Raw genomic sequence first — 18,862 nt, 5'->3', positions numbered from 1 at the left:
ACTTCAAATTACATAAGCATCATTTTAATATGGGAAAGACCTATTTATACAAAAGCCATATTTCATGGAAAATTTAGAAGTCTCATTTTATCAAGAATTTTATGATGATTTGTATTTGTTACAAAAGTCCTATCATTCTTGATCATTTGGCAGTATTAACTGAAATTCCATATATGAAAATCAAAATATCCTTTTCATCAATTATGCAGCATGTGTGATTTTTTAAAAAGGTGCACATTAATAAAAAATGACTTAGTCATTATTAATTCTTAACTCACTGGAATATCTCTCAGAACTTCTTCCTTGACATGGTCCTTTGGAAAGTTGTGTTCAACCGAGACAAACAAGGAGAGTATCGGTTCAGCACCACACAGCCACCGCAGGTTGGAACTCAGCACTTCCTGTCAATTCTTGCTGCCTCTCTAGGCTCTCTGCTTGTGTACTCTGTATTCTCTAGCGTGTTCTTGTTCTGTTATGTGTTATTCTCTAGCGTGTTCTTGTTCTATTACGTGTTCCTTCAGCCTTTTTCTCTGTGCTTGGCATTTCATTTCTTATAAGAAGTCCTAGAAAATTCATGGCAAACATTTGTTAGAGGCTTTTCAAGATCAGAAATTTCATAAGTCTCCTTTCCATTCCAATCCTGATCTTCTATTTGTGTAAAAGTCTTGTCCTCAAAGGTGAGAGTTAATTTTTCCATTTCAATCTACTATAAATTTTATGTTTTTGTTTTTCATGAGTCCCCTTAGAAGCTAAATGAGATTTATATAAACAAAGTTTGCAATGAAAACTGTTTCTTCTTGGATCAGAGTCCAAAGGCCCAAATTCTGAAGAATTATTTCTGATTTCTTGTCAGTTACTGTCCCTTAATTTGGAGTGGCTTTTTGGCTTTCTCCAGCGTTGTATACCTTAGTATTCAGAAGATGATGTCCTTTTTTCATACAAACCGTGGTTTAGGACATTTGACTTTTTGGGTCTGTTAAACAGCCTGTCATTTGAAAGGTATTGCAAGTTCTGTGGTAAAGAGAGAAGAGAAACAGAGGAATAAAACCCATTTCCTAGTGTTAGGATGTTAAAGTATAGCTCTTGATACAGATACAGATTGGACTTATTTTTTAAACCCATCCTATGAATCAGAGCTCTTTGAGGCAGCTTTTTAGGCATAGAGAATTTGATAAAATCTCACCCCTTCATTGCCTTACCCATTTTTCTTTAGAGATGGGTGATGTGCTTTACAGATAGGAGCTCTGAGTCTTTCACTCAGCCTTGAGCCACAGGAAGCTGGTGGAGTTGAAGAGGACTCCCTGGCATTTTTGAGTTGGGTTACCCACTTAGTTTTAGCCAACTTTTACCTAAGTGGTACCTTCCTGAGCTTTATTTTGGTCATCCAGCAGGCCTGATGTCCTGGTGTAATGCCACAGGCTTGCTTTCTAAGAGGGCCTGCAGAGTACCATTTCCGTTTTCTAATGCTTTATGGTGAATAATGATGGAATGCAGTCAGCCTCAGTTTTTTTTTTTCCTGAAAGCAGTGTAATACCAGTTGTCCCTAGTAGTGCGTATGACTAGGGTTGTACAAGGGGCTCAAGTCGTTTAGCAAAATCTCATCTGTGTATACACACACACACACACACACACACACACACACACCCCAACACCCCAACCCTCCCACCCCCATATATATAGTTACCTCACTGCATTACTTCAGAAGGTTATCTTTGGCTTATGTAATCAACTCTCATGTGAAATATTCGTATTGTATTCCTAGGCCTAGGAAAACATTCCGATTTTTCATATTCTCCCAAGAGATCTCTGACTATTGATCTGAACAAGAAATTGCATGTTTTGAAGGGGAGTAACCCCGGTTTAGCTGAAAGTAGGCATTATAAGGCCCCTTAAAAATATTTGGATTGGAAGACTCTCCTTGCTTTTCAACCAAAATTAAATGATAGAAAATTCTTTTTTTGGTCTCTGTTTTCTAAAAAATTATTAGGAAATATCTGCCCTTCTCTTTTTGTGAGACCAGGGTCTCACTCTGTCACCCAGGCTGGAGTGCAGTGGCGTGATCATGGCTCACTGTAGCCTCGAGCTCCTCAGGCTCAGATGATCCTCCCACCTCAGCCTCCCGGGTAGCTGGCATTAGAGGTGCATGCCACCATGCCCGGCAACTTTTGTTTGTTTGTTTTGTAGAGATAGGGTTTCACCATGTTGCTGGGTAGATGGAACTACAGGTGCATGCCATCCCAGGCCCAGCAGTTTTTTTTTTTTTTTTTTTTTTTTTTTTTTTTTTTGCAGAGAGGAGGTTTTGCCATGTTGCCCGGGCTGGTCTCAAACTCCTGGGTTCAAGCCATCTGCCTGCCTCGGCCTCCCAAAGTGCTGGGATTACAGGCGTGAGCCACCACGCTTGGCCTGCCCTTCTAATTTTTAGAAGTTTGTGTTTCTACCTCTGAAGTGTTCATGGGAGAGTGAAGGTAGAGAGTGGTCCAGAGCAGGTGGGCCCCAGCACACCCTGTGTGTCAACTGATTCTGAGAATCATCAAATAGACAAGAATTTAAGTCTTCCGTTTCTGTGGTCATGATTAAGGTGCATTTTTTAAAGACTTAAAAACTTACTGGCTTTAGGAAGGAGAGTTCTTATAACCTCCCAGCACAAAGTGACATACTTTCATTCTCTGCTACTTCTGTGTAGTGTTGCTTCACTGTTAATGTTTGTGGCTCTTCAAGAGCCAGTCTTTAGTTAATCATATTACCATAAGGCCGTGGTTCTCAATCGGAGGTGATTTCCCCAGGGGACATTTGGCATTGTCTGGAGGCATTTTTGGTTGTCACAGTTGGCAGCCCCGGGTGTTAATACTTACTCTCTGACCAAAAAAAAAAAAAAAAAAAAAAAAAAATTCTTTACGTCAGTGATTATCAAGCAAGATTATTCATCAGAAATGCTTTGAATTCTACCCTTGACCTACTGAATGGAAATCTTCGGTGGAGACCCCCATCATCTGTGGTTTTCTATAAAGCAACCCTGTTTCAGGAGATCTGTGTCGTATCTTCTCTTTAGAAGCATTTGTGCCTAGCTTGTGTCTGGTAAACTGAGGGCACTTAGTAGTGGAACTAGAATCATACTACCTGTAATTTGATTATGCCTGAGGATTTGTGCCCAATTTATGTTTTCTTCCTTGGTGAAAAATCCAAAAAAGTAGTTTGTATGGTGTAGTGGTAGTCTTTATGCCACTTAGAATATTATTTGAGCTTATGTAGACAGAATGTTAATTCTGATTTTCTGTGTTTGTTTTATATTCAGGATTGGTATGGAAGAAGACTTATGAAAACCACAGCGCCATTATAACATTTTTCCTTCAAGCATGGCATTCTGTTTTATATACTGCCCATGAAAACATTTCCTAAAAGACATTGCTAAGCGTAAACTTGACATTTTTGAAAGTTCTTTTTAGTTTCTCTGCTAAACTATGCATGGTAGCCTCTTTCCTTCTCTGAGGGGATGAATTTGGTCACTGAAGCATTCCTTTCAGAAACAAACTGAAAGATCCGGTTGCTATAGCTACTGTGTTCTGCTTTAGGGACTTGTGCCGTAGAGGTTTTGGAGAGACCCACATGCTCATTCTGTGCCCCCGATGCCCTGTTTCATGGCCTTTGTGTTACACAGTACTTGCCTTTCTCCCTTCATCATCATCATCTCCCCGCTGGCTGATTTCTCATTCCAGCATGCCTGTAGCACCTTTTATTTTCTCTTCCAGTGAATTATATTGTGTTTGAGAATGTGTGTGGTATGTTTGTGTTTGTAAACTAACAAACCTATGCTTGCATGTAGTGTACTTTTTGTGTATGATACTTGGGGGAGGTAGGGGTACAGGAACAAAATGTTTCCAATTATGGTACAGTAGGGGGATCCTTAGTGTTCCTCATGACTTTTTAAAAATTGTGACACGTGTACACTGTTTGTAATAGGGTTGTGAGGATATTTTTCAATGCATAAAAAGAATCCTATTCAGTTATTGTTCTATTTGCAAATAAATTAATTTTAATTTTATTGGTTGACTTACTTTCCACAAGTAGGGAACAGTGAATTGAGATATGTGTGTGTTTGGCTTTCCTTAACTCAGCTTGCTACGTACGCATTGCTGTTCAACCTGGCAGACTCTTTGGACAGACAAGTCCTATTATGTTTCTGCTTTTTTAAAAAAAGTCAGCAGTCAACATTAGTTTATTTCCTGTGGTAATCTAACAGTGCTACTTAAAAGTGACAGCTTTTGGCCAGGTGCGGCGGCTTATGCCTGTAATCCCACCAGCACTTTGGGAGGCTGAGGTGGATGGATCACGGGGTCAGGAGATCGAGACCATCTTGGCCAACGTGGTGAAACCCCGTCTCTACTAAAATACAAAAAATTAGCCGGGCGTGGTGGCGCGTGCCTGTAGTCCCAGCTACTTGGGAGGCTGAGGCAGGAGAATCGCTTGAACCCGGGAGACAGTGGTTGCAGTGAGCTTAGATCACGCCACTGCACTCCAGCCTGGCGACAGAGCAAGACTCCGTCTCAAAAAAAAAAAAAAAAAGGTGACAGCTTTCGAATTGATTTAGGAACAGTGGTTTTTTTCCCACAATTAGATTGACAAATGACACCTTGGGAGAAAAGTAAGATCCAAGTAGTAAACTGTCATCTCAGATGAAATATTACGTTTGTTGTGTGCCTATACTGGAAAGGCATTATCTGTTATTTTGGATCACTTGAAGAATCCTATACATAGTGACTTCTGTACCTTAATGCTAAATATTTTCCTGTGGACTTTTTTTTTAAGGTGATGCTGATATAACTCTCTTTAGTTATGACAGTAAAAAGGCTACTAGGCGAGTAATCTTCAGACTTTCCCCGTCCCCACCCCAGAATGCCACGTAGCTTACTTTTGTCCACCTTTTTTGCCTTTAAATTCTTGGTAGCAGTGCAGCTGATTGTGTTTTGTTGACAGGCTTAAGCTAGCAGACCTTTAACATTGAGAGCGGTGAGTCACGTTTACCGTGCTCTCAGCGGGGCCAGGGAGGAGAGGGAGAGAGTGGTAGGTTCCTGATGGTTGTTTCAACTGGATGAGAAAGAGCTACCAAGTTAATATGAAAAAGCTTTAAGAGCTTTAATTTTAAAGTATTTTTGCTCTTCTCCATTGGCCAATTTAGAAACATGTTTCAAAATACATCTATAGCTAACTTGCCTTTTTAAATCATGAGGCATTTTGGGTAACATTAGAATATGTAGCTCAGTTATGTTCTACTCTACCTTGTGAGATTACTGCATTTAGAGCTAGTTGTAGCCTGGTTTATATGTTGATTGGCAAAACAAAATGACCTGGAATTTAAATTTCATTTTGGAGAAGCAACAGCCAAAATCATTACGAAGTGGCTGTTCTTTAGAAGTAAATATAACTACTACGAGTCCTGGTGTAGTCATTTATATTTATTTCAAATTTCAATTGAGACAAATTCTGAGGGCCCTTTTCAGCCCTCTATTGAGTTTACATTTCTATGCATTAACCAGGGACTCTGCTTTCTTGTTCTCCAAGGATCATTTATCTAAGGCCAAATTCACTAAAAACATCAGGATTGATCAGAAGGATTTCAGTGACAGCAGAGCTTTTTGCAATGAAATAATACTAAGCAATAGTACTTGTTTTATACCCCTTTCCAGTCGTGGAGCACCGACGGAAACCATCATTATAAAACAGTATTGTTTTTTATATTAGTAAGGATGAGGTTTTAAAAGACGTAATTGACATTAAACATGATTGAAGCCCTAATTTTGACCAAACGATATTTACTTCATGTTTTGAGAGATGATATTAACAGTAACAAGGATACTTGTACACAGCTTTCTTCCAAAAATGATCATGCGGCTAAGTTGCCAGGAGCAATAGTACCAAAAGATAGTTTGGGACAGAATGTGAAGATTTTCAAATTAAATATTAAAAATGTTTTCTCTTTCTGAATGGCTTAAAGTTCTTAATACATTAGATATTCTGTGGTAAAGAATCCATATCTGCAAGTTATTTAAAAGGTATTAGTACACAAGAGTATAGGTATATAAAACTAAATGAAGTCAATCATATTGATTATCCCCCCAAAAAAAATATAATCTAAAGAATAATCAGTTCCTAAATAATTGAAAGCTGCCCTTACAAAATAAAACAAAAGAACACACATTTCGTTGTGTTGCCCAGGCTGGTCTCGAACTCCTGGGCTCAAGCAGTCCTCCCACCTCGACCTCCCAAGATGCTGGGATTTCGGACATGAGCCACCACGCCCGGCCAAAGCTGCCTTTTTTTAACATGGATTTTTTTTTCCCCCATTCGTTGTGCTCAGAAGTCATTTCCTCTTATTTTTCTCTGCTAATGTGTGCTTTAACAAACCTGTTTAAAACGACAAGCCTTTAATCAACTGGGGTGTTTTGTTTTGTTTTTTTCTTATTTTCTTAGGAGTCAGTGGATCGGTGGGGAAAATGCTGCTTACCCTGGGCCCTGGGCTGTAGAAAGAAGACACCAAAGGCAAAGTACATGTATCTGGCGCAGGAGCTCTTGGTTGATCCAGAATGGCCACCAAAACCTCAGACAACCACAGAAGCTAAAGCTTTAGTTAAGGAGAATGGATCATGTCAAATCATCACCATAACATAGCAGTGAATCAGTCTCAGTGGTATTGCTGATAGCAGTATTCAGGAATATGTGATTTTAGGAGTTTCTGATCCTGTGTGTCAGAATGGCACTAGTTCAGTTTATGTCCCTTCTGATATAGTAGCTTATTTGACAGCTTTGCTCTTCCTTAAAATAAAAACAGAAAAATATATCGTCCTAACAGTTAAATTAACAATCAATCCATAAAGTCCTATATCTTCATTCAGCAACCCAAATATTACATACATTTCCAGAATTTTCTTGATTGTTACTTTCAGTGATATTCTTTATATTGGGTACAGGAGAAGTTTGGTGTTTGGTAGGTTTTTCAACATTAGTTTTTGAGACTAGTTTACCTCTTCACATTTATGCTCACAACCCTCTTGTTAGAAAAGTCTGTGTTTATATACAGGCTGTAAGTTTGTGATTGATAAAAAGAAGATGAGTGTTAATTAGCCTCCAGTGAAAATATACTGAAAGCCTGTTTTCATTTGATTCCAATGTTTCTTCCAAAGAATTCTGTATAAACATATGCCAATTCCCTATGATGGTCTAGAGTTAGGAATGAGTGTTTATGGTGTTGCTTATAGAACAACTCAGGTAATCTCCATTTCTGGTTTTATATTTTCTGTACAAACTGCCTGGGTTTTATTTTTCTAATCAGCAAGGTGCTTCACTGCCTTCTTGAGACGCCTCTCAAAGCTCTTAAATGGCTCCTGTGCTATGTGTGGTGTTGGCAGTCTAATTTGCTTCTGTTAAATGTTGTAGAACCTTTTTCACTAGGAAATAAGATTCATTTCTTTCGGCAGTAGATGTAGATTCATCTTTTAACGTTTCTTCAAATTTGTTTCTGTCAGGCTTTGTGTTATTTTAAATGGTTTTTTAAAATTTTCTTCTATGTTTTCAATTACCTAAAGACATAGGATAATAGTTTTTTTTAAGTTAGAATTTTACCTCATAAAATTTTTTGAGGTTTGATGTATGTCTCTGTCTTATCAATAATGAGGCTTAAAAAATACTGGATTTGAATGGCTGCCGTTTTTTCAAAGCAATATGAATTTGATGAGTTTGTTTTATGCCATTAGGTGGCGCCAGAGGTCAGAACATGTCTATTTTGAATTGGATCGTTACAAATGAGCATATTTGATGCGGAAATTTCTGGGAGAAAAAAAATTGAGGAAATAAAGTTAAAAAATTGACATTCATTGAGCCAAAAGAGATGTGGAGAAACATTTTTCACCTTTCTGTTTGGCCTGATTAACATTTAAATTCTTGCCAAAATTAAGGTAACTTTTAAAAAACACCTTTTATAGGTGGATCCAGCAGTCTGGCAACGCCCACAGTTACCACAACACAGAAAACTGATCGTGCTATAAAATGGACGCTAAACTATGAAAACAGTGTGACATTGTTCTCTGTTCTTCCAGAGCCAGTAACATGCTTGCTCGTGCTTTCTACTTCTAGCTGATCATTCTTTTCCCAACATATATTTACAAATTTACCAAATTTTACCTAGAATTTTAGGACCAAATGGTTCTCACTCTTTATGCTGCAAAGACCTGGATGATGTTTGGTAACTATAGAAAAATAGAAATTACACTCAGGATCACTGTTACTGCTATTGCCACTGATGATTCCTGCAAAAATATAATCGAAGTTTTCCATCAAATGTATAATATGCTATTAATACACATTAGATGATAACAGTTGTTCCATGAATGATTCTATGAAGCTATGCATCTTAGACCTCTTGAGCTGTGAATTAGCACTATTTTCTATAGTTACTTATTCTCTGGATCATTTTATAATTTCCATATTAATTTCAAATATGCTCGTGTTATTCTTCAGTGATTTCCACAATTGTGCATTTTATTCTTTGGTTTAAGTACTGAAGCATATAATGAAAGTAATTGCTAAGTAGCAGCTTAAAAATTCAATTATCCGATTGTATTTAACATCTTTAAGAGCATGATCATAAAGAGCTATTTTTGACACCCCCCCCCCACTTTTTTAACATTTAGAGTTAGTAAGGGTTTTATATCTCTTCTGTCCATATTGTTTTCAAAGGAATGAGGTGTTTAGGTGGCTGGAAAAGCATTTGTAGGAAGTTAGATTTGAATATAGACAAGGTGGGTTATTCACGTTGAGAATGTTATTTGAAGAATGCCTGTGAAGCCAGGTGTGGGTTCTACTCAGTGCCATAGATAGACTGAGTCTTCTCTCGTAGGTTACCATTACATAGTAATTTTGATTCTGAATTTCACATTAAATTATTTGAGTTTATACAGACCTAAATTTTAAAATCTGTACATATATTATTTTGATGTATTAAGATGAATATTGCTGATTTAAATTTTATTTATGCACATACTTAAAGGACAGAAATGTCTGGGAAAGTAATTGTTAAATAATGATATGTAACTTTTTAACTTTTTAAATAAATAACAAGATTTTTAATGTGTGTCTCCCTCAGGGTTGTTTAAAGTTTTTTTTCTCCCTCAAGTATAAATAGTGGTAACTATATGTTTTGTATCTTCTAGCACCAACTGCTGTAAAGCAATGCTGCAAATAATGCTTGAATACAAGTGGCTAAGCCAACAACAGAATAAATACTTTTATAGTAGTTTTATAATCCTGAAATTCGAAAGCTTTCCCAATTGCACTTGCATCTAAACAAAACTGTTGCAGTTTTTACTCTATTTATTTTGTTCCCCATGTTTATGAAAGTCCTGCACAGTTTCAAAGGCATGGTAAATAATATATCAATGTTTATGTAGTCTGTTACAGAAACAGCTATAGATAACATTATCCAGTGAAGAGCAAAATTCAAGCTTTAGAAAATATTCATGCATGCAATTTTGACATATCTAAAAATAGGTTTTTGTATATTTATGGTGGGAGGTGGTTGGGAACTTTTAACAAAATGGGGTGTTAATTTTTGTACAGTCTGTGGGCATTTACACATTTTTAATGTATTAAAATTTGGTAATTATGTGTACATTAAATTAATAAAAGTTACTTCTAGTTATGATTTGTGAATTCCCTAAGACCTTGGATTTTTTTAAGTAACTTTATATCAGAAATGATACTGCATCTTTATATTTTTAAAATTGTATTGCTGCTCAAGAATGGTACCCTCTTGTCAAAAAGGCATACATTCATAATTGTACATTCAGCATTGTAAATAATCTTATGAAACCTTTTTTGATTGAAGCTATTCAAAATAAAAATTTTAATGAATGAAATAACACTTTTTTTCTGTGTCTTTATTCATTTGTTTGCTTTTTAGTGACATGAATACTGCCCTTTGTGGATTTATTTTCCTGCCTAATAATACTTCCCCATTTCCTTCTTTTTTTTTTTTAAAAAAAACTGGATTTTGAAGGAAATAAGAACAACATTCTGCATATCATGCCATGTGTGTGAGCATCCTGGGGAAACCCCACAGTCGGATGCAGTGTAGAGCCAAATGTTAAATGCGAGGAGGTCTGAGGGCAATGGTGAAATGAAATAGAAGAGTAGGGACTTATAATCTATTAATAGTTGGGAGAATCAAACCAAAAGCTAATACCATGGAGAGAGAAAATGGTTGTAAAAATCCCAGAGAAGACAGGACCTTTGTGTGTGGGTGGGAGTTGTTTCCATGGAGCTCAGCTCCGGGAGACACGGAGCCCCTGCTAGGGAATATGTGGCTGGCTGTGGTGTGATGAATTCGGGGGGTGAGGGCCTGCCTGCCTTTAGCTCAAGTTCTTAACAGTCGCTATGGTTTGTGCGGCATGTGTGATCCTGTCCCCACAGCCTGCTGGTGTGGGCACAGTTCTGCATGTCTCTCCTTCCGCTGTATCACTGCCAAGGGACAGGGAGTCCTAGGGGCTTGAGTGAGACTGTCCGTGGTCCAAGTTGGGGTGTGGTTGCTCCCTGCTGTGCCCGGCCCACTGAGTCTCCCTCAGAGGAAAAAGGCTTATCTCACCCAGGCACAGACCTGCTTTTGAATAGCCAAGCCCCTTAAGCCAGGTAACTGTTTTACAGCAGACTTCTGACCTGGTAATGGATACAGAATCTTAAGACTTGGAAGCACTGGAGCTGTCAACTTCCTTGCTCCAAATACTTCTCATTACCTCATCAACTTGCTCAGTGGATGGACTAAGAGTGTTCCCCCACTCTGCAACTGCCATACCTACTTTTCCCTTCCTGGACAATCAAAGTGTCTTCCTAAGGGACAAAATGTAGAGGCCATTCTGACTGGAGGTTTTCCTGGGGAAATAGGCTAAAGAAGGGCCACAGGAATTTGAGCCATCGGCATCTTACTCTGTTTCACAGCTCGCCTTCCCAGTCTGTCATGTTGGCTCCCTGGCAATTTCATGGGCAAGGGGGCGGGGAGGCTTTCACTCGATGTGCCTATGCATGACGGACTTACCAGGTCACCAGTGTAGCAGTTCAGGGCTCTGGAGTTGCATTCCTTGATCGGAACTGAAAGACCTCCCGCGATACCTGGCAGAGGCAGTGGCTCTTCCCTGTGGTCCAGGGCTGCGTGACTTTGAAGGTAATTTCAGTCAACCCAGCCTTTACTGGGCTCTGACTGCATTAGGCTGCATCAAAGGGGATTGGATCCCATGATTCTTTATATCTTCTGACATTAAGCCTTTGTCAGCTATAGGTGTTACAAATATCTTTAGTTTGTGGTTTATCTTTTCCCCTTTTTTATGGTGTCTTGAAGGATAGAAGTCTTTTTTTTTTTTTTTTTTTTTTTTATTGATCATTCTTGGGTGTTTCTCGCAGAGGGGGATTTGGCAGGGTCATAGGACAACAGTGGAGGGAAGGTCAGCAGATAAACAAGTGAACAAAGGTCTCTGGTTTTCCTAGGCAGAGGACCCTGCGGCCTTCCGCAGTGTTTGTGTCCCTGGGTACTTGAGATTAGGGAGTGGTGATGACTCTTAACGAGCATGCTGCCTTCAAGCATCTGTTTAACAAAGCACATCTTGCACCGCCCTTAATCCATTTAACCCTGAGTGGACACAGCACATGTTTCAGAGAGCACAGGGTTGGGGATAAGGTCACAGATCAACAGGATCCCAAGGCAGAAGAATTTTTCTTAGTACAGAACAAAATGAAAAGTCTCCCATGTCTACTTCTATCCACACAGACCCGGCAACCATCCGATTTCTCAATTTTTTCCCCACCCTTCCCGCCTTTCTATTCCACAAAACTGCCATTGTCATCATGGCCCATCCCCAATGAGCCGCTAGGCACACCTCCCAGACGGGGTCGTGGCCGGGCAGAGGGGCTCCTCACTTCCCAGTAGGGGCGGCCGGGCAGAAGCGCCCCCCACCTCCCGGATGGGGCGGCTGGCCGGGCAGAGGGGTCCTCACTTCCCAGTAGGGGCGGCCGGGCAGAGGCGCCCCTCACCTCCCGGATGGGGCGGCCGGCCGGGCGGGGGGCTGACCCCCCCACCTCCCTCCCGGACAGGGCGGCTGGCCGGAAGTCTTAATGCAGACAGCATTATCAGTGTGTTCAAAAGACACGTAGACACGTTTTGCCTATAGACAAATGGGCAAAAGGAAACCCAGCTTTCTCAAATGAAGCACAAGTGGGCCTTAATTATGTGAAAAGGTGTTCAAGTTCATCATTAAACAGGGAAAGGAAAAGTTAAAATCATGCTGAGATATCTTTCATAGAAATGGCAAAAAGCAGGAAGTGCCACGTGTGGGCAGAGAGGAAGCACAGGAACTCTCACAAATGGCAGGTGTCATCGTAGACCAACACAACCACTTTGGAGAGCAGTTTGACTTTCCCCAGTTAAACTGAACATGTGAGCGGCCGGGCGTGGTGGCTCATGCCTGTAATCCCAGCAGTTTGGGAGGCCGAGGCGGGCGGATTGCCTGAGCTCAGGAGTTCAAGACCAGCCAGGGCAACACGGTAAAACCCCGTCTCTACTAAAATACAAAAAATTAGCTGGGCGTGATGGTGTGTGCCTGTAATCCCAGCTACTTGTGAGGCCGAGGCAGGAGAATTGCTTGAACCAGGGAGCAGGAGGTTGCAGTGAGCCGAGATCGCACCACTGCACCCCAGCCTGGGCGACAGAGTCCCCCTCCCCCACCAAAAAAACAACAAGTGAGCATCCTGCAACCTAGCAATGCCATTGTTGAACAAGTTCAAAGATGTTCTTAGCCTTATTAGTCCCAAAAGGAAGAAAAAAATGGAGGATTTGAGAATGTTCTTAGCTTTATTGCTAAGCGGAGAAAGAAAAACAACACATACCAAAAAAAAAAAAAAAAAAAAAAAAAAAAAAAAAAAAAACCTGGGTGGGAAATTAGGGCCATGTGGCATGAAAAGGAAGACCCAGGGGAAGTGTGGCCCATCTAGGGGTGTGGCTACTGCAGTGATCCAGCTGTATCACTGAACTTCCCTGGCATCATAGAGTTATATTGTGCCATTTATGGAAAAACTCTCCCCACTGCTCTTGGCTTTGACAGTAGGAATCAGGTTATATATGGTCTCTCGGTTTGAAGATATTTGTCATTAAAAACCAGAACAAGGGCTCTGAGATAGGGTCCTTTCCTGACCTACTCTGGTAAAGTCTTTATCCTCAGGATGCAAGGATACCACCCTCTTCCTGTGGAAAGTGTCGAATCACATGCAGAGCTCTAAGTCTTTCAGTTACTTTGGAGTGCAGAACCATTTCAGGTAAGGCCAAATATTTTAAACATTAGTATAGGAAATTAGAGGGCTCTTTAGTCTGTGTGTGCATGAGAAGTAAAATTGCACGAGAAGCAATTTATGTAAAATTTCGCTTAGGAAACATTGTTTTGGCAGGTTAGTAGTATGGTGTGCATTTCCCAGAAAATTCAGTGCCGTGAGTATTACCTTTAGTTAAGCATCTTAGAAATAGTAGCTCTTTATGGCTAAGTCAGAAATACTACCCTCAAATTCTATGTGACCCTAGTTATACTGTTGAGCCTTTCTGTGCCTCTGTGCCTTCATCCTTGAATCGGGGATAATATACTTACCTCCTAAGGTTATTGTAAGGATTAAATGCATGTAGTATAAATAAAGAGCTGAGAACAATGCATGGCGTAAAGTGATAGGTATTATTATATGCTTTTGTTGGCTGTTGATTGAAGGTGTTCGCTGTTTTGGGGGTGTCCTTTAATAGAGTAACTTGGTACTGTGGAAATAGCATGATTGTGAGCAAAAGAATCAGATGGTGGTGGCTGCAGACTTTGCTGTTCCCTTCTTGACTGTTGGTTATAGCCAATGCAGGGTAAGTTATAAAGTCAAGAGCAGAGCCGTTTTCACAATGGACATTGCTTTGTGATGTCTGTGAGCTTGAATGTGAGAATGATTATTTTAATTCTCTATGTAAGGACTTTAAAGTATTGGCTATTCGGTAGCTTGAAAACTCTGTAATCTCAATGCTTTAAACTGAGAGTGGAAAATCAATAAAGCAAAAGCATGAGGCCACGCAGTGTAGAATGAGTGTCTTTTCACCACGTAGGGAAATCTGTAGTCCTAAGAAAAGAGGGAGTGAGAATTCTGGCGAAAGGATTGTGCCTCTGCACAAAGTGCAGGATCCCAGGGTTCAGTACAGGCGCGAACGCTCCTGTGTGTTGACCACACTCCCACGGTTGCTTTTTCAGACATGCTGAGGGGGACTCTACTGTGCGCGGTGCTCGGGCTTCTGCGCGCCCAGCCCTTCCCCTGTCCGCCAGCTTGCAAGTGTGTCTTCCGGGACGCCGCGCAGTGCTCGGGGGGCGACGTGGCGCGCATCTCCGCGCTAGGCCTGCCCACCAACCTCACGCACATCCTGCTCTTCGGAATGGGCCGCGGCGTCCTGCAGAGCCAGAGCTTCAGCGGCATGACCGTCCTGCAGCGCCTCATGATCTCCGACAGCCACATTTCCGCCGTTGCCCCCGGCACCTTCAGTGACCTGATAAAACTGAAAACCCTGAGGCTGTCGCGCAACAAAATCACGCATCTTCCAGGTGCGCTGCTGGATAAGATGGTGCTCCTGGAGCAGTTGTTTTTGGACCACAATGCGCTAAGGGGCATTGACCAAAACATGTTTCAGAAACTGGTTAACCTGCAGGAGCTCGCTCTGAACCAGAATCAGCTCGATTTCCTTCCTGCCAGTCTCTTCACGAATCTGGAGAACCTGAAGTTGTTGGATTTATCGGGAAACAACCTGACCCACCTGCCCAAGGGGTTGCTTGGAGCACAGGCTAAGCTCGAGAGACTTCTGCTCCACTCGAACCGCCTTGTGTCTCTGGATTCGGGGCTGTTGAACAGCCTGGGCGCCCTGACGGAGCTGCAGTTCCACCGAAATCACATCCGTTCCATCGCACCCGGGGCCTTCGACCGGCTCCCAAACCTCAGTTCTTTGACGCTTTCGAGAAACCACCTTGCGTTTCTCCCCTCTGCGCTCTTTCTTCATTCGCACAATCTGACTCTGTTGACTCTGTTCGAGAACCCGCTGGCAGAGCTCCCGGGGGTGCTCTTCGGGGAGATGGGGGGCCTGCAGGAGCTGTGGCTGAACCGCACCCAGCTGCGCACCCTGCCCGCCGCCGCCTTCCGCAACCTGAGCCGCCTGCGGTACTTAGGGGTGACTCTGAGCCCGCGGCTGAGCGCGCTTCCGCAGGGCGCCTTCCAGGGCCTTGGCGAGCTCCAGGTGCTCGCCCTGCACTCCAACGGCCTGACCGCCCTCCCCGACGGCTTGCTGCGCGGCCTCGGCAAGCTGCGCCAGGTGTCCCTGCGCCGCAACAGGCTGCGCGCCCTGCCCCGTGCCCTCTTCCGCAATCTCAGCAGCCTGGAGAGCGTCCAGCTCGACCACAACCAGCTGGAGACCCTGCCTGGCGACGTGTTTGGGGCTCTGCCCCGGCTGACGGAGGTCCTGTTGGGGCACAACTCCTGGCGCTGCGACTGTGGCCTGGGGCCCTTCCTGGGGTGGCTGCGGCAGCACCTAGGCCTCGTGGGCGGGGAAGAGCCCCCACGGTGCGCAGGCCCTGGGGCGCACGCCGGCCTGCCGCTCTGGGCCCTGCCGGGGGGTGACGCGGAGTGCCCGGGCCCCCGGGGCCCGCCTCCCCGCCCCGCTGCGGACAGCTCCTCGGAAGCCCCTGTCCACCCAGCCTTGGCTCCCAACAGCTCAGAACCCTGGGTGTGGGCCCAGCCGGTGACCACGGGCAAAGGTCAAGATCATAGTCCGTTCTGGGGGTTTTATTTTCTGCTTTTAGCTGTTCAGGCCATGATCACCGTGATCATCGTGTTTGCTATGATTAAAATTGGCCAACTCTTTCGAAAATTAATCAGAGAGAGAGCCCTTGGGTAAACCAATGGGAAAATCTTCTAATTACTTAGAACCTGACCAGATGTGGCTCGGAGGGGAATCCAGACCCGCTGCTGTCTTGCTCTCCCTCCCCTCCCCACTCCTCCTCTCTTCTTCCTCTTCTCTCTCACTGCCACGCCTTCCTTTCCCTCCTCCTCCCCCTCTCCGCTCTGTGCTCTTCATTCTCACAGGCCCGCAACCCCTCCTCTCTGTGTCCCCCGCCCGTTCCTGGAAACTGAGCTTGACGTTTGTAAACTGTGGTTGCCTGCCTTCCCCAGCTCCCACGCGGGTGTGCGCTGACACTGCCGGGGGCGCTGGACTGTGTTGGACCCATCCGTGCTCCGCTGTGCCTGGCTTGGCGTCTGGTGGAGAGAGGGGCCTCTTCAGTGTCTACTGAGTAAGGGGACAGCTCCAGGCCGGGGCCTGTCTCCTGCACAGAGTAAGCCGGTAAATGTTTGTGAAATCAATGCGTGGATAAAGGAACACATGCCATCCAAGTGATGATGGCTTTTCCTGGAGGGAAAGGATAGGCTGTTGCTCTATCTAATTTTTTGTTTTTGTTTTTGGACAGTCTAGCTCTGTGGCCCAGGCTGGCGTGCAGTGGGCCGTCTCAGTTCACTGCAGCCTCCGCCTCCCAGGTTCAAGTGATTCTCATGCCTCAGCGTTCTGAGTAGCTGGGATTAGAGGCGTGTGCCACTACACCCGGCTAATTTTTGTACTTTTTAAAGTAGAGACGGGGCTTTGCCATATTGGCCTGGCTGATCTCAAACTCCTGGTCTTGAACTCCTGGCCACAAGTGATCTGCCCGCCTTGGCCTCCCAAAGTGCTGGGATTACAGGCGTAAGCCACTACACCTGGCCCTCTTCATCGAATTTTATTTGAGAAGTAGAGCTCTTGCCATTTTTTCCCTTGCTCCATTTTTCTCACTTTATGTCTCTCTGACCTATGGGCTACTTGGGAGAGCACTGGACTCCATTCATGCATGAGCATTTTCAGGATAAGCGACTTCTGTGAGGCTGAGAGAGGAAGAAAACACGGAGCCTTCCCTCCAGGTGCCCAGTGTAGGTCCAGCGTGTTTCCTGAGCCTCCTGTGAGTTTCCACTTGCTTTACATCCATGCAACATGTCATTTTGAAACTGGATTGATTTGCATTTCCTGGAACTCTGCCACCTCATTTCACAAGCATTTATGGAGCAGTTAACATGTGACTGGTATTCATGAATATAATGATAAGCTTGATTCTAGTTCAGCTGCTGTCACAGTCTCATTTGTTCTTCCAACTGAAAGCCGTAAAACCTTTGTTGCTTTAATTGAATGTCTGTGCTTATGAGAGGCAGTGGTTAAAACAGGGGCTGGCGAGTTGACAACTGTGGGTTCAAATCCCAGCTCTACCACTTACTAACTGCATGGGACTTTGGGTAAGACACCTGCTTACATTCTCTAAGCCTTGGTTTCCTGAACCTTAAAACAGGATAACATAGTACCTGCTTCGTAGAGTTTTTGTGAGAATTAAAGGCAATAAAGCATATAATGACTTAGCCCAGCGGCCTGCAGGCAATACATGTTAATGAATGTTAGCTATTATTACTAAAGGATGAGCAATTATTATTGGCATCATGATTTCTAAAGAAGAGCTTTGAGTTGGTATTTTTCTCTGTGTATAAGGGTAAGTCCGAACTTTCTCAGACTGGAGGTTACATTCACATCAGTCTGTCTTCCCCTGCGGATGGCCTCAGCCCTGGGTGGCCAGACTCTGTGCTCACAATCCAGAGCAATGGATCCTCCAACACCACCAGGTGGATGTGGAGCAGGAGAGCTGGATCGTGGCATTTGTTTCTGGGTTCTGCAGCTGTGGGAGTTGGTTTCTGGGTTCTCCATTGGTCTACTTGTCTAGTCCCATACCAGACTCACGGTCTCCATTATTGGAGCTTTAATAATTTTTGGTATAGGGTCATCTCTCCACCTTGTTTTTCTTCTATTCTTGGTTCTTTGCAATTCTATGAATATTTCAGGGTCAGCATGTCAACTCCATTGAAAAACCCTGCTGGGATTTTAATAGAACTTACAGCTCACGCCTGTAATCTCAGCACTTTGGGAGGCTGAGGTGGGTGGATCACAAGGTCAGGAGTTTGAGACCAGCCTGGCCAAGATGGTAAAACCCCGTCTCTACTAAAAATACAAAAATTAGCTGGGTGCGGTGGCAGGTGCCTGTAATCCCAGCTACTTGGGACACTGAGGCAGGAGAATCACTTGAACCCGGGAGGCGGAGGTTGCAGTGAGCCGAGATCGTGCCACTGCACTCTAGCCTGGGCGACAGAGCGAGACTCCATCTCAAAAAAAAAAAAAAAAAATTGCAGTAAATTTAAAACTAATTTGGGGAAGAATCTGTATTTTTTACAATACCTAGTGTTCTTGCCAGTAAGCATGGTTCATCTTCCCATTTATTTACGTCATTTTAAATCTTTCAGTGATGTTTTAGAATTTTTTTTATAAAAACCTTCACTATAAGAACAGAAAACCAAACACCGCATGTTCTCACTCATAGGTGGGAATTGAACAATGAGAACACTTGGACACAGGGCGGGGAACGTCACACGCCTGGACTGTCGGGGGGTGGGGGGCTGGGAGAGGGATAGTGTTAGGAGAAATACCTAATGTAAATGACGAGTTAATGGGTGCAGCCAACCAACCTGGCACATGTATTCATATGTAACAAACCTGCACGTTGTGCACATGTACCCTAGAACTTAAAGTATATAAAAAAAAGAAACCTTGCACTGATTTTGTTAGATTTATTCCTAGGTATCCTTCCTCTTTTTTGATTTGTCATTGCTATTGTAGATGGCATCTTTTTAAAAAGTTATATTTTCTAAAGAAAAAAAT

General features: G+C 43.1%; 2 protein-coding genes across 23 annotated transcripts in view, besides 3 other annotated features; both read left to right on the top strand.

Moving 5' to 3' along the window:
• ATP13A3 (ATPase 13A3) overlaps positions 1-9,905 on the top strand; it is a 91,658-nt gene extending 81,753 nt beyond the window's left edge. For 13 of the 22 annotated variants that reach the window (NR_164667.1, XM_047448909.1, XM_047448904.1 and 10 more), the window contains 2 exons: positions 294-383; positions 6,466-9,905. Coding sequence is in view for 20 of the 22 variants with exons in the window: in XM_047448909.1 (XP_047304865.1) it covers positions 294-383; positions 6,466-6,663 (288 nt within the window). In the remaining 2 variants the exon portion in view is untranslated. Of the gene's footprint in view, positions 1-293; positions 384-3,292; positions 4,040-6,465 lie in introns of those variants that run through there. The other 9 variants (XM_047448912.1, XM_047448913.1, XM_047448916.1 and 6 more) reach the window with 2 other exon arrangements.
• Positions 11,380-11,932: an enhancer, noted in NCBI's record as "NANOG-H3K27ac-H3K4me1 hESC enhancer chr3:194121379-194121931 (GRCh37/hg19 assembly coordinates)". NCBI's record gives its function as "activates a minimal SCP1, AML or CMV promoter by ChIP-STARR-seq in primed H9 embryonic stem cells {active_cell/tissue: H9 hESC(primed)}" and the evidence as "EXISTENCE:reporter gene assay evidence [ECO:0000049][PMID:30033119]".
• Positions 11,933-12,486: an enhancer, noted in NCBI's record as "H3K27ac-H3K4me1 hESC enhancer chr3:194120825-194121378 (GRCh37/hg19 assembly coordinates)". NCBI's record gives its function as "activates a minimal SCP1, AML or CMV promoter by ChIP-STARR-seq in primed H9 embryonic stem cells {active_cell/tissue: H9 hESC(primed)}" and the evidence as "EXISTENCE:reporter gene assay evidence [ECO:0000049][PMID:30033119]".
• GP5 (glycoprotein V platelet) lies at positions 13,316-17,761 on the top strand. The gene is made up of 2 exons (NM_004488.2): positions 13,316-13,344; positions 14,298-17,761. Exon 2 carries the CDS (start codon positions 14,300-14,302, stop codon positions 15,980-15,982), a length of 1,683 nt encoding a protein of 560 aa, NP_004479.1. The 5' UTR covers positions 13,316-13,344; positions 14,298-14,299; the 3' UTR covers positions 15,983-17,761.
• Positions 15,366-15,415: a silencer, noted in NCBI's record as "silent region_15021". NCBI's record gives its function as "represses an Ori minimal core promoter by ATAC-STARR-seq in GM12878 lymphoblastoid cells {active_cell/tissue: GM12878}" and the evidence as "EXISTENCE:reporter gene assay evidence [ECO:0000049][PMID:35858748]".
• Positions 17,762-18,862: the final 1,101 nt, after the last annotated feature.

The sequence above is a fragment of the Homo sapiens genome, chromosome 3 (assembly GCF_000001405.40).
Source record: "Homo sapiens chromosome 3, GRCh38.p14 Primary Assembly".
Classification (NCBI taxonomy): domain Eukaryota; kingdom Metazoa; phylum Chordata; class Mammalia; order Primates; family Hominidae; genus Homo; species Homo sapiens.
The sequence above is the reverse complement of the archived record's forward strand: the minus strand, read 5'-3'. Positions and strand labels throughout refer to the sequence as shown.